This window comes from Homo sapiens, chromosome 2 (assembly GCF_000001405.40).
Source record: "Homo sapiens chromosome 2, GRCh38.p14 Primary Assembly".
Lineage (NCBI taxonomy): Eukaryota > Metazoa > Chordata > Mammalia > Primates > Hominidae > Homo > Homo sapiens.
This window is the reverse complement of record NC_000002.12, coordinates 65,419,549-65,431,857: the sequence shown is the minus strand read 5'-3', so window position 1 is coordinate 65,431,857 and position 12,309 is coordinate 65,419,549. Positions and strand designations below refer to the sequence as shown.

The 12,309-nt window shown below is 43.8% G+C and overlaps 1 protein-coding gene across 3 annotated transcripts in view, besides 4 other annotated features; it reads left to right on the top strand.

Moving 5' to 3' along the window:
- The window catches only part of SPRED2 (sprouty related EVH1 domain containing 2), a 125,425-nt gene that overhangs the window by 742 nt on the left and 112,374 nt on the right, over positions 1-12,309 (top strand). The gene's annotated exons all lie outside the window — the stretch shown is intronic.
- Positions 327-376: a silencer, noted in NCBI's record as "silent region_11580". NCBI's record gives its function as "represses an Ori minimal core promoter by ATAC-STARR-seq in GM12878 lymphoblastoid cells {active_cell/tissue: GM12878}" and the evidence as "EXISTENCE:reporter gene assay evidence [ECO:0000049][PMID:35858748]".
- Positions 407-916: a silencer, noted in NCBI's record as "silent region_11579". NCBI's record gives its function as "represses an Ori minimal core promoter by ATAC-STARR-seq in GM12878 lymphoblastoid cells {active_cell/tissue: GM12878}" and the evidence as "EXISTENCE:reporter gene assay evidence [ECO:0000049][PMID:35858748]".
- Positions 10,476-10,975: an enhancer, noted in NCBI's record as "NANOG-H3K27ac-H3K4me1 hESC enhancer chr2:65648017-65648516 (GRCh37/hg19 assembly coordinates)". NCBI's record gives its function as "activates a minimal SCP1, AML or CMV promoter by ChIP-STARR-seq in primed H9 embryonic stem cells {active_cell/tissue: H9 hESC(primed)}" and the evidence as "EXISTENCE:reporter gene assay evidence [ECO:0000049][PMID:30033119]".
- Positions 10,976-11,477: an enhancer, noted in NCBI's record as "NANOG-H3K27ac-H3K4me1 hESC enhancer chr2:65647515-65648016 (GRCh37/hg19 assembly coordinates)". NCBI's record gives its function as "activates a minimal SCP1, AML or CMV promoter by ChIP-STARR-seq in primed H9 embryonic stem cells {active_cell/tissue: H9 hESC(primed)}" and the evidence as "EXISTENCE:reporter gene assay evidence [ECO:0000049][PMID:30033119]".

The following is a 12,309-nucleotide window of genomic DNA, read 5'->3' as shown; positions in this document are numbered from 1 at the left end:
GTGCAGCGACTCGCTGACCTTTCGGCGTTGGGACGCGAGGCTTCCCTGCTTGTTGAAGTGAGGAGAGGGCAAAAACTGCTGCGGGCTGGCGGGCGCACGCCTAGGGTCGGCGGGCTGGTGGCAGCTCCGGGGGCCAAGGGCGTGCGGGTGACCTCCCGGCGGTCTCCGCTCCCTCTCGGAGGACTTACAGCTCCCCCGCCCCCGAAATCCTCGGCGGCTAGAGCGGAAGACCTGACACCCCCACTCCGGCTTCCCGGGGCTGGTGGGTTTTTGCACAGTGACTTTGTGACTCCCGCCGCCCCGCGAGCCCTGCAGTCCGCTCCGGAGCCCACTGGGGCCTAGGCTCCGCCATTTCGTTTTCTTGAATCGCTCTCATTTGCATACCACATTTTCATTCATAAAAAACACGGCGGAGCGAGAGGAGGACAGGCGCGGGCTGCGCGGGGGTCTGGTGCGCCAGGGTCCCCGCGCGGGCCGGCGTGCTGGAGCCGCCCGAGGGGCCCCGCGGCGCGTGAGTGCCTGTGCACGCGCTTGTGGCCGGCACACGCGTCCTGCGGGGTCGGGCGGCTCGGGGCGGACCGAGGCGTGTGCGGCGGGGGCGTGCGGGGCATCGCGCTGGGGGCGCGCGTGTGTGTGTGTGTATGTGAGTGTCCTCGCGGGTGCGCGTGCACGGGCTTGTGCCTGGCCCGCGGGCCCGAGGGGAACAATGCTCGGGGCGCTCCGCCGGAGGGATCCTGGGCCGCCCCGCGCGGGACCCGTGACTGTCGCCAGCCCGGGGCGGAGGTGCAGCTGCCTCCTGCCTCGCGGTCCAGGGGTCCAGTTTGGCATTTTCCCTCCCTGGTCTGAGGCGTTTTCAGTCTCGGGTGCGACGGGGGCGGGGCCGCGGGGCCCGACGCCTCAAGTCTTATGCCTGGGGTTTGAGCGGTCACCGCGCGGCGGCCGCCGCTGCTGCTCAGTGGCTGTGCCCGCCACCAGCCACTTTTTTTTTTTTGTGAATAAGACGCGCTCCTTTATTGTCACATGATATCCCTCCCCTCCTCCCCTGCACATTCATAAATCCGGAGCCTGCATCCGTTCCTTTCATTCAGTGCTGCCATTAGCCAAGGTAGCGGCGGCGCGGGCTTGGGCGCAAAGAGCTGGTTGGCAGCCGCGGGGACGCGCCCTGGAGGGAGGCCCCGCGCGCGTCTTTGCAGGGGAGTGTGGGCTTCGGAAGGCGTGCTCCGGAGGCCCCAGGTCTTTTGCCCCCCGCAGGCATTGAGCCTCAAGAGTGCTGGGAGGGGAAGTGACTCAGGGCTGGGCGACTGGGAGGCTTGTCTCTTGCAGCAGGTGACAGTGCTGTGCCCTACTCTAGGAAATCTACTCACTTTATTAAATATACCCCCTTTATCCTTTGGCGTCTGCTGTTGCCAGTCCGGGCGGGAGTGGGGCTGGTGTTTGGGAAAGGGAATTTCAGTTTCCTTCCTGTGAGTCCCCAGGGAACTTTGACTGCAGTAACCCCTGATCTTCCAGACAGCCGTCACAGGAGAGGATCCCTGCTGCTGTGCCTGTCGCAGACGTCCCACCGCATCTGCTGGTGTTTCTATTTCAGACGTTTTGCTTTGTCTTCGTATATAGCATCTTAAAATGGTAAAATGAAAAAAAGTTGCGCTTTTAGGGCTGAAATACAGAGAAGGAATATGCTGCTGGGCCTTGCTGCCTTTTGAACGTGACCAATAAATCAATATTTTTATGGGCCCTCGATTGTACCTGCACACAGAGTAGCAGTAGTAGCAGTGAGGCTGGTTGCTGTGCTCTGGCCTTGCAGATTCTTGGAGAGGTTTGACCACTCTACCTTGGCTCCACCCCTTGGGAATACAGGCCTGACCTGGCTCTTTTTGTGGCAGCTTGTCAGCCTTGCATCTTTCTCCATCTGCTATCCAAAGCAGAAGGATTTCGAGTGGGATCACCAGCGAGGAAAGAATAGCTCCATTTCAGGCTCTCAGAGCAAGTTCAGCATGAAGCCGTAGCCTCCACTGCTGTCACGAGTCCAGTTGAGAGGATAGATATTTGAGGAGTTCTAGTTTCACTTAGAGACTGAGAAAGCCTTGGCACCTTAGCCACTGAAGAAATGGGCTTATAGGGGTTATTTTTAATGTGATGACCTTGGCTCAAAACTTAAAATGCCTGAGAAGAAAGCGACTTCGTGGGCTGTAAACTGCCATGGTAGCCACTGTCTATTATTTTGTTCAACGTACCTGTGTAATGACGCATCTGAAAAATTCCTTTTAAATGTTAGTGACAGTAAGGTTTTTCTCTCTGAATTACAGAGCTTGCTGTGATTGCTTTTTTGTTGTTTTATTGTTGTTTGCTGCCACTGTCTTTAAGTCTAGAGCTAAAATTATTGTTTGATTAAGGTAGCCATATTTGGTTAGATTTTTGCTAGATTCCTACTTTGGGTGAATTTGATCTGTTTTTTTCTTGTAATGATTTTATGTTTGAGGTCTCTCAGATACCTTTGGAACCAGGCAGGGTTTGCTACTTAAGAGAACTGGTGGCATCAAACTGGAGACCTAGGAAAGATATATTTGTACTTTAGGTAAAATAGACTTGATAGTCTACATGTAGTAAAGGTTTTGTTGAATGGTCCAGATAATATCTGTTTCATTTAGCATCAGAATGCAGTAAATCAGAATCTTGCAAATGGTAAAATTGTGCTTAATTTAAAAAAATAATGTTTTGTTTTCTAATGTTGTTTTCCATGTCAATTTAAAATTCTTCTAATATATGGTAATTCAGGAAAGTTTCTTTGCTCTTGTTGATAATGGTCCCAAAAGATATCTTCCATATAGAAAATACACTGACCATTCTCTTTCGTCCCCCCTCCACATAAAAATGCATGTTAAAATTTACAATTATACAGACTTTTAAAAATATAATTTAAGAAGCGAAGAGCATCAGCAAACTATTGTAAGTCGTCCTCTGTGCATAGGGTTGGAAAATTTTTTTAAATCCATACCTATTTTGTCACTATCTTTAAAGCGTTTGATCATGGCTATGAATGGTTTGGAAATTTGCAGACAAGATAAACCTTACTGAACCAAGCTCTAACCCTGGAGACATCGAGCTGCCATTCAGCTTTTTCTTTTGTTCCTTTCATGAACTCTTCTCTGTAACCCACTTCTTGCTGGGAATGGATTTGCAGCTTCCCTTTCAGTCATATTTTCCCTAACGTTGAAATGTTTCCCATTAATAAAACAGGTGTAAGTATTTTTGCTGAACCATTTCAAAGACATTGCAGACATTGGGACTGTTGTACCTAAATATTTGAGCTTACTTCTCAAGAGATAAAAATACTGTTCTGTGAAACCACAATACTATTATCACATTTTACAAAATTAATAATTCCCTGGTGTCTTTAACACTCTGCCTGAATTGTCTGCAAAAATGTCTTTTATAACTGGTTATTCAGCCAGAGACCAATCGAAGACCCCGAGTTAAATGCGTTTGTAACGTGTATTTAAGGCTTAAGGCTTAGCCATTTGCTCACTTTATGATCTAAGGCAGTTTACTTTCATATGTCATGTCAGTTTTATATGGAGTGGACAAAATGGGAATAGACACTACCTATTTTGTGGAGCTGCTGTGAGAATTAAATGAGACAGCCTACGTAAAGCTTATAGTACAGGGCTAGGCATAAAACAGGTGCCCTATGTGGCTCTTTGCAGGGCACTGAGATAGATTTCTTTCAGGCTGAGCTTCATTTTCAGATAACCCTGTGAAGAAGGTATTACCCCCATTTAACTGATGAGAAAGCCAAGGTCAAGTTAGTTGCCCGAGACAGCAAACATTTTTTTAAAGCACTTTATTCATTTAGTCTTCTTAAAAATCCTGCGAGGTAGTTGGTATTATTATCCCTATTATAATAGGGAGAAGTGAGGCACAGAGAGGTGAAGTCCTTTCCTCAAGGTCATCCTGTGAGTAACTGAAGGAGCTGGGAATGGAGCACTCCAGTAGCCTGGTTCAGGAAGGTCTCTGTGCTCTTAACTAACCACTATGAACCATTGGGGTGGTCCAGCCTCAGTCGTTCTGACTCAGAGCTCGCAGCCTTTCTGCCAATCATGCTTGTTCATTATTCTTCTGAACTGGTGACAATCTGTCATTGCCATCATTTTTCTCACTTCACTTATCTTCCCAGAAAATGCTGTGAAGCATGAGGGGCATACTGAATTAAAATGGATTTAAATAAATTTGGGCTTGAGAATTCTGTGATACACCTCAAAGATAATGGGAGTAGTGCAAATTCAGAGTTGGTTATTATTGGAATGTTAGATCTATGTTAACTGAAATAACAGTTGTGGAAATTAAACCGATACAGTGAGTATTGATCCATTTTCTTTGTGTTTGCCTTAAAAAGGGAGGTATGTTTCTACCAGGGGGTATGGTTCTACTATACATGAGTAGAACCCTTAAATGTTAAAAATATGGAGTTGACTGTGCAGAATTAGAATCTTGATTTATTCCTCAGAAAATCCCCACACTACTGGAGACCCAGGCCTGGAGGATGATAGCTTGAGGCCAGGAAAACCAGCCTGGGCAACACAGTGAGACCCTGTCTCTACCAAAAAAATAAAAAATAAAAATTAGCCGCGTGTGGTAGCGCACACCTGTAGTCCCAGCTACTCAGGAGGCTGAGGGGAGAGGATGGCTTCAGGCCAGGAGGTCGAGGCTGCAATGAGCTGTGATCGTACCACTGCACTCTAGCCTGGGCGACAGAGTGACACCCTGTCTCCAGGAAAAAAAAATCTTAAAAGTAAGAAAAAACAAAAAAAACCTGAAAAGACCTTAAGGAGCTTGTAAGCTAGGACCTGTCATAGTATAAACTTAAGTGCCTAGTGCAAGGCTGAACAGCTAGTGAGGTGGTAGACCTGGAGTGGACTAAGCTCCATCAGCTGGTTGTGGTCTGGGTTTGTTTCCATGGGAATATTAGCAAATGCAACCTCCTTTCTAACTAAAGCTGGTCCCCTCTGCTTTCCTGTCCTTTTATCCAGTACAATATATACAAAGTGGATCAGTAGCAATACCCAAAACTGTTTTGCCTTAGCAATTTGCTTACTCTTGCTTTTATTCTGAAATTCTCTTCTTTCTTCCTTCACTTCTCCAGTAGGTGACATTCTGCTCATGCCCCCAGCCATCTCTGAGCCATTGCGTTTGGGTGGTCCTTTTTGACTTTCCCACCATAACCCCCTCCTCCCAGTCAAAATCAAGTCAAAGTCAAAATGCAAGTCAAAATCAATGTCTGTGTGTATTATTTTTTTCCCTACATTACATGGCAATTATTATTTCAAGTTGGGCTTATACCCAGCTAGATTCTGCATCCGAATTTGAGTTTTTTGGATTCAAGGTTACTTCTCAAATGCCTAGTTTTCTAGTTGTTGGCCCAACACCATTGGGCACATTGTGGTTGCTTAATGTCTATTGAATAAAATAATGGATTTAATTATTTTAAAGTGCTGTTTCATCCCTACTGACTAATGCAATAATTACAATTGTTGTATTTGGTTAACTTAGGGTATATATATATATAAGCCTCCTGAGAAACTCAACCATGTTCACATTGAGCCTCTGGTATTTTGTGGAAATTCCATGCAGAACTATCTGGTGGTAGTGATCTGTCATTGGTAACTCAAAACCCATTTTTATTCCATTCATTGTTGCGAGAACTGACAAGTAAAAAATCTTGACCACAATAAGACAGGGCCTGTTTCTATGCCTCTGTAGGAGAATCTCTGCAGAAATCACAGTATTAACAATTTTCAATAGCTGCAGGGTTCTGCTGGAGTCTTAACACTTGAGGGTGGATACAGCTGTGCTGATGAACTCCAATATTGGCATCATTCTTGTATTGCCGGCTGAACACAAATACAGTCTAACAGCAAAATTTTCAGAAATTGAACAAGTGATAATAGAGGCAGACCAGAAAGTTTTGGTGTATGTGATTATTTGTTTGGGCTTGTTTTTACTAAGGTAAATTAGGCCGAGTTTTTTAAAAAGACCCCGTCATCTCAATAAACTTGATAACTTATTCTTAGAAATATTTAAAAATTACTATTTAAATCTAGAACATTGTGATGGTGCTTTTAAGGCATTTTCTAGGGCTCTTAGTGACTTTGAAGTAGAAGAAATATTTTGTATTGATGCTCCAGTGCCCCGTGGAACAAAATATATTTTTTATATGCTTTCCCTGGATAGACATGAAGGATTGTTACATCTTGACATATGTCCCATGTCATGGAAAGAAAGTCAGGCCAGGATCATGGGAGTTTGCTAAATTAAGTAACAATTGTTTCATAACTACCCATTTCCCTTTCTCATGTAACCTTTATCAACATTATGTTCACATGTGGCATATTGCACACGTATTATCAAATTGTGCTTATGTTCTTCCTGCTACTCTCAAAGGGTAGTTGAATATTTATTTAAAAACAAACTTTCTGTGTTTACTTGCACTTAGAGGGTAAAGGTAAAGAAACAGATTTTGACTTCACCCTTAGCATTTAACACTTGTGATTGAAGAGATTAGAACAAATATTGGGAGCTTCTAAAATGTATGGTTTTGGCTCCTCTGTGTCCTGAAATAACGATTTTTCAGATCTGGTTGTTTTTATTCTTTGATATATTTCCTGTGGTCCATTTATAAATGCTTAAAACTTAATTATCAGTTAAGTTTTTAATTGACTTTCATTTGTTCATCTGGTAATGACATCTTTGTCTTTTCATTTTCATTATTTATTCCTCTTGTTTCTTTTTCTTACTGCTTTGCTTTGGCTCTGGCCTCCAGTACTGACTTTTCAGATACGCACTGTTTATTTTGTATTTGCATCCATACTAACTGAGAATGCACAGAGAAGCTTGGCCCATCTGTCTTTCTAGGTGTGGGAATAGGTTTGTTTGTTTGTTTGTTTGTTTTTGAAACAGACTCTTGATCTGTTGTCCAGGCTGGAGTATTCCAAGTGATCCTTCTGCCTTGGCCTCCTGAGTAGCTGGGATTGTAGGTGTGCGCCACCACACCTGGCTAATTTTTAAATTTTTAGTAGAGGTGAGGTCTTCTTAACGTTGCCCAGGATGGCCTTCAGCTCCTAGCCTTAAGCAGTCCTCCTGTCTCGACCTTCCAGAGTGCTGGGATTATAGGCATGAGCCACCTGCACCTGGCATGGGAATAGCTTTATCTTTTATTTTTATTACTTTTTTTTTAGAGATGGGGTCTTGCTCTGTTGCCCAGGCTGGAGTGCAGGGGTGCAATCATGGCTTACTGGAGCCTTGAACTCCTGGGCTCAAGCAGTGCTCCCATCTCAGCCTCCCAAGTAGCTGCGACCACAGGTGTACACCACCATGCCCTTTGAGAATAATTTATTAACCCTCATACCCATGGCCTGGCAGAACACTGAGCACATAGTAGGCTTTCTGTAAACAGTTATCAATTGGTTGAAGTAACTATTCATTAATTGAAAAAATAATTGTACCGTGTATAAAAATTTAACAATTTTTCACAATTTAACAATTATCTTTTTTGGATACCTATATCCAAAAAAGACTTTGAGTTGCTTTTTCAAAACTACTAAAGGAGAGGCTGCCATGATGGTAGTGGAAGAATCATGGACTTTGGAGTGAGACCGTACCTCTTCCCCTGCCACTAAGGGACCCTGCTAAGTATCCCAAGCCACCAGCCCTGGATTAATGTAAATGAGGTTCATTCTGCTGTATACCTAATAGGCTGTTAAAAAGTAGAAATGGACCAGGCATGGTGGTTCATGCCTGTAATCCCATCACTTTGGGAGTCCGAGGTGGGCCGACCACCTGAGGTCAGGAGTTCGAGACCAGCCCAACCAAGATGGAGAAACCCCATCTCTACTAAATATACAAAATTAGTTGAGCATGCTAGCACATGCCTGTAATCCCAGCTACTCGGGAGGCTGGGGCAGGAGAATCGCTTGAACCTGGGAGGCGGAGGTTATGCCAAGCAGAGATCGTGCTAAGCAGAGATTGCACCATTGCACTCCAGCCTGGTCAACAAGAGCAGAACTCCATCTCAAAGAAAAAAAAAAAAAAGCATAAATGAGGTAGCCTTGGTAAAACATTTTAGCACAGCACCTGAGAAATTGAGATTCAGTAGCATCCATCTACCCCAGGTCTGTCCCCCATCATGTAATAAGGTGTTCTTTCTTTTCAGAATTTACAAGGCAGAGGAGATCCATGAACTTTACAAGGCAGGAAACAAGATTTTCACTTTGTACCTTAGAGAGCTGAAATGACTTGCTCAAGGCTCCTCAGGGAGCTTGTGGGAGGATAATTAGGATTTAGAAGTCATGTTCTAAGACTGACTGTTTCTTTTGGCTTTCTAATGGTGTCCTGGTAGTTTTTGTACTGTGATAATCAATAATGCCCAGCTGACCATTGGCCCCTTTACTCAGTGATCCCAGTTGGCTGTGCTTTTTGAGATTCTGAGTTTTATAGCTTGTCTGTTCTCTTAGGGTAAGAGTACCTACCTGTAATAGCATCCTTGGCTCCCCTGCCATCCCTACGCCATTCCTGATATGTGGTCTAGATACCTTATTACCAGCAGCATTCAAATTCTCTCTAAAACAAAAGTCAGTAGGCTTGGTGTGGATGGGTGGGACTGACCATCCTCTTAGGAGTCACTTGGCTTATGACATGTTTTGTCTACTTGAATGCCATGTTTGGCATTTCATTTTATTTTTCCAGCCAAGGAATAAAGTGGACGATGGAGTGGGAATACAGACATAGTGCTAGACTAGAGGTTTAATTTATCAACATCCCAGTAATTTTACTCATTTTTATAGATCTTTTAAAGCAGCGTAAGTGTGACTATAGTCTTAATATAGTTATTACATTTCTCCCTTTTGCTTAAAGGTTAAGTCAAGTTTGATTTTTTTCTCAGGCTCAGACTCGCAAAGCAAATCTGCCTTGCTAGAATGATGTGCCTGGGCTCAACAGCTCACCTCTGGCCCTGAAGGCCTAATAATTGGTTGCCTTCTCATTGATCTGTGTGTGAGCACACTTCAGAACAGTACTCTGCTGTTTGTTAAAATAAAAAACAACAACAAAAAACCTTTGAAGACCTTACCGTCCATTCTAAGATGTCTTTTGTACTAAGGAAAATTGGGGATACTAGATTATAGGTGTTGATTTGGAGTGTGATATACTGTGAATCGGAATAACTTGAATTTAGAATGTACTTAGGCCCCAGTTGCAAAATTATGTGTAAATTATTGTATTGGATAAAATAAATGAGTGGAAGTACAGCCAGAGGAGAGGGAGCCACTAGCCATTGAATGCCTACCATGTGCCATTCACTTACTGCAAATATAGAGCACCTAGCCTGCCATACAATACCAGAGCTGTGGCTCAGGAAGTCCCTGCTCTCGGGGCACTTACATTCTAGGATGCTAGACAGTTTCATCTGCTTTAAGGTGTGAGGACAGCCCTCTTGATGACTGACTAACTGATTACTAACTAGAGTTGTTTTCCTTTTTCTTCCCCTCCTTCCTGCTGGGTTCCTCCTAGAGCTGCAAACTAGAAATGTGATGTGTTGGGGTTCTCATATTTGGGGTAGGGGAACTCTTCATGCACAGCATTGAAGGACCTACAGGCCCTTGCCAGAATCTTCAAACAAGCAAGCTTTTCAAGTCGTTTTTAGGTATGAGAGAAAGAATGAGTGAGGGTAAGAGAGAGAGAGAGAGAGAGAGAGAGAGAGAGTGTGTGTGTGTGTGTGTGTGTGTGTGTTGTACATACAAGCACGTACACATTCACACATGGATGGAATATGTCCAACCGTCAAGTGTCCACATACCACAGGTGAGGAAAAGATTCTGAGAGGGCCCTGTCTTGCCTGAGGTCTCACACACACAGCAGGATTTGTTATTTTTAACCCAGGTCCTTTGACTTCAAATCTTAACATCTGTAGAACAACAGTCTGTGTTACAACCTCACAGGGCCTCAGTTTTCTCGTATAAAAAATTGTGTTATCTGAATAGCTTGGTTTATATTACTGTTGAGCAAATGAAATTAGAACTCATTTAGAATCCTGTAAACACCTCAGAACTATGTAGTGACATTTCTTCCTTGCATTCCTGTTCAGCTCTGTGGAATAGGGAGCCAGTGCCAATCCAGGTGGCCTTTTCTGTACTGAGATATAAACAGCAACTCTACAAATACTTGTTTTGGAAAGAGTAAGCCAACTTACCCCTGATGGAAAGCTTGTGAGAGCAATGTGGCTAACACAGCATTGTGTTCACCTGGACCTGTATTGTAGCCTTGCTGTTTTGTGGGGAGGATCCTGTAGCCGTGCTTCTCAAACCTGAGCTTACATAGGGATTCCCTGGGGAAATCTGGTAAAATGAGGATTCTGATCCTGAGATTCTGCATTCTTAACAAACTCCCCAGGAATTATGCCACTGAGGGTTCATGGGCTTATCCATGGCTGTGATGGTTTTATCTTCATTGTCCAGACCCTAATAAAAAGATGACTTCACATCTTTGGCATTTTGAATGTTTGCTGAAGAGGCTCATTTGATAAGAAGGTGGTGATCATACACTGAGAGGTATCATCAGGTGCCTGTCCCTCCCCATTCTTAGCAGGACTTCCAGCTTTGAGGTACAGCTTGATTTTAAATGGAAATGTACTAGAAGAATTTTTTCTTTTTTTATGGCTGAAAGAAAGTTCTCGGTGAATGCTAGGAGGCCCATGAGATCCATCACTTAAAAAGAAATGTGAAGTCCCAAACTGTATGTGTAATGTCTGACTGTCAGACAAATCAGTCATGTATGCACGGAAAGGCTGCCGCCCTGGGAAGCTTGGGCGCTCAGCCCTAGAAGAAATCACAGGAAGTAATTAAACAGAGAAGGTCAGAGAAAGAGGAAGTGGTTGTGTTGTTTCTGATGCAAAGAGCATTGTTGTTACTGGGAATCAAGATGATGATGTTTAAATCTCTTGGAATGTGACTGCTTGGGGATTTGATTGTATTGTGGTCCTTTTAGTTTATTCTTTTAGACAGCAATGTAGTTAGGAAATGAATTGCTTTTAGGTCTTATCAGGAATCCCCACGTGCCTAAGCAGAAGTCTTAAGCGGGAGTTGGTTGTAGCTTGGCAAATTGCACTTAAATGAAATGAATGTCAAGACTATTAGAGGTTAATTTTAGGTGTCTGGAGTTCTCCCTAATTCTCCTGATTAAACACTTTAACATAATAGTTTCCTTAATTGGAATAATGATGGAATATTAGCATGCATATTAAACCATTTACCCAAATTTGAATAGGGTTAAAATGCAAATTATCCATCACTTGTCAGTGCTTACTCTTTACAGATAATTCTGGTGAGAAATCGGGAAGAGACTGGAATATGAATTGGAATAGGGCTTTCTACTTGAGGCAGCTTTGCTGGGAAAGTCAAGAATAAACTAGAGGACTGAAACAAGTGAGAGGCCCCTTTGTTTCCCCCCAAAAGGGGTACTAAAAATACGAAGGCCTGTGCTGTCAATAACTCCAACACGGAGGTGGGTACAATGGGAAATCTGAAATAAACTATAGACCCTCCAGTTGTATCTTCATTAGGTTGTCATATTTTTCCTTTTTTTTTTTTTTTTTTTTTTTTGAGACAGAGTCTTGCTCTGTTGCCCAGGCTGGAATGCAGTGGTGCAGTCTTGGCTCACTGCAACTGCCGCCTCCTGGGTTCAAGCGATCCTCCCACCTCTGCCTCCCAAGTAGCTGGGTCTACAGGCAAGCGCCACCACGCCCAGCTAATTTTTGTATTTTTAGTAGAGGAGGGGTTTCACCATGTTGTCCTGGCTGGTCTCGAACTCCTGACCTCAAGTGATCTGCCCACCTCAGCCTCCCAAAGTGCTGGGATTACAGGTGTGAGCCACCGCGCCTGGCCTGGCTGTCACATTTTTCTTTCAGAAGAAGGTGAATAAAACTTAAGGTCTCTCCCCAGCATTTAGATATCTCATCTGCAAGTCTTGAACTGATGCTACTAGCCAGTGGTTCCCAAACTAGTGTCTGGGAAACCATATGCACTCCATGCATTGTTTGTGAACCAAATACGTAATGTCTCCCAAGCATATGTATTACTGTCTTTCAGAGTATGTAGCTACATTTGTAGAATAATAAAATACAACCTTATTACAATACTACTGAATTCACAGTGGATGTTTGGCATATATTTTTCTTGGCTCACAGTTAATAAACACACACACACACACACACACACACACACACACACACACAACTATAATCCCTGTGAAGGGAAGTGCTCC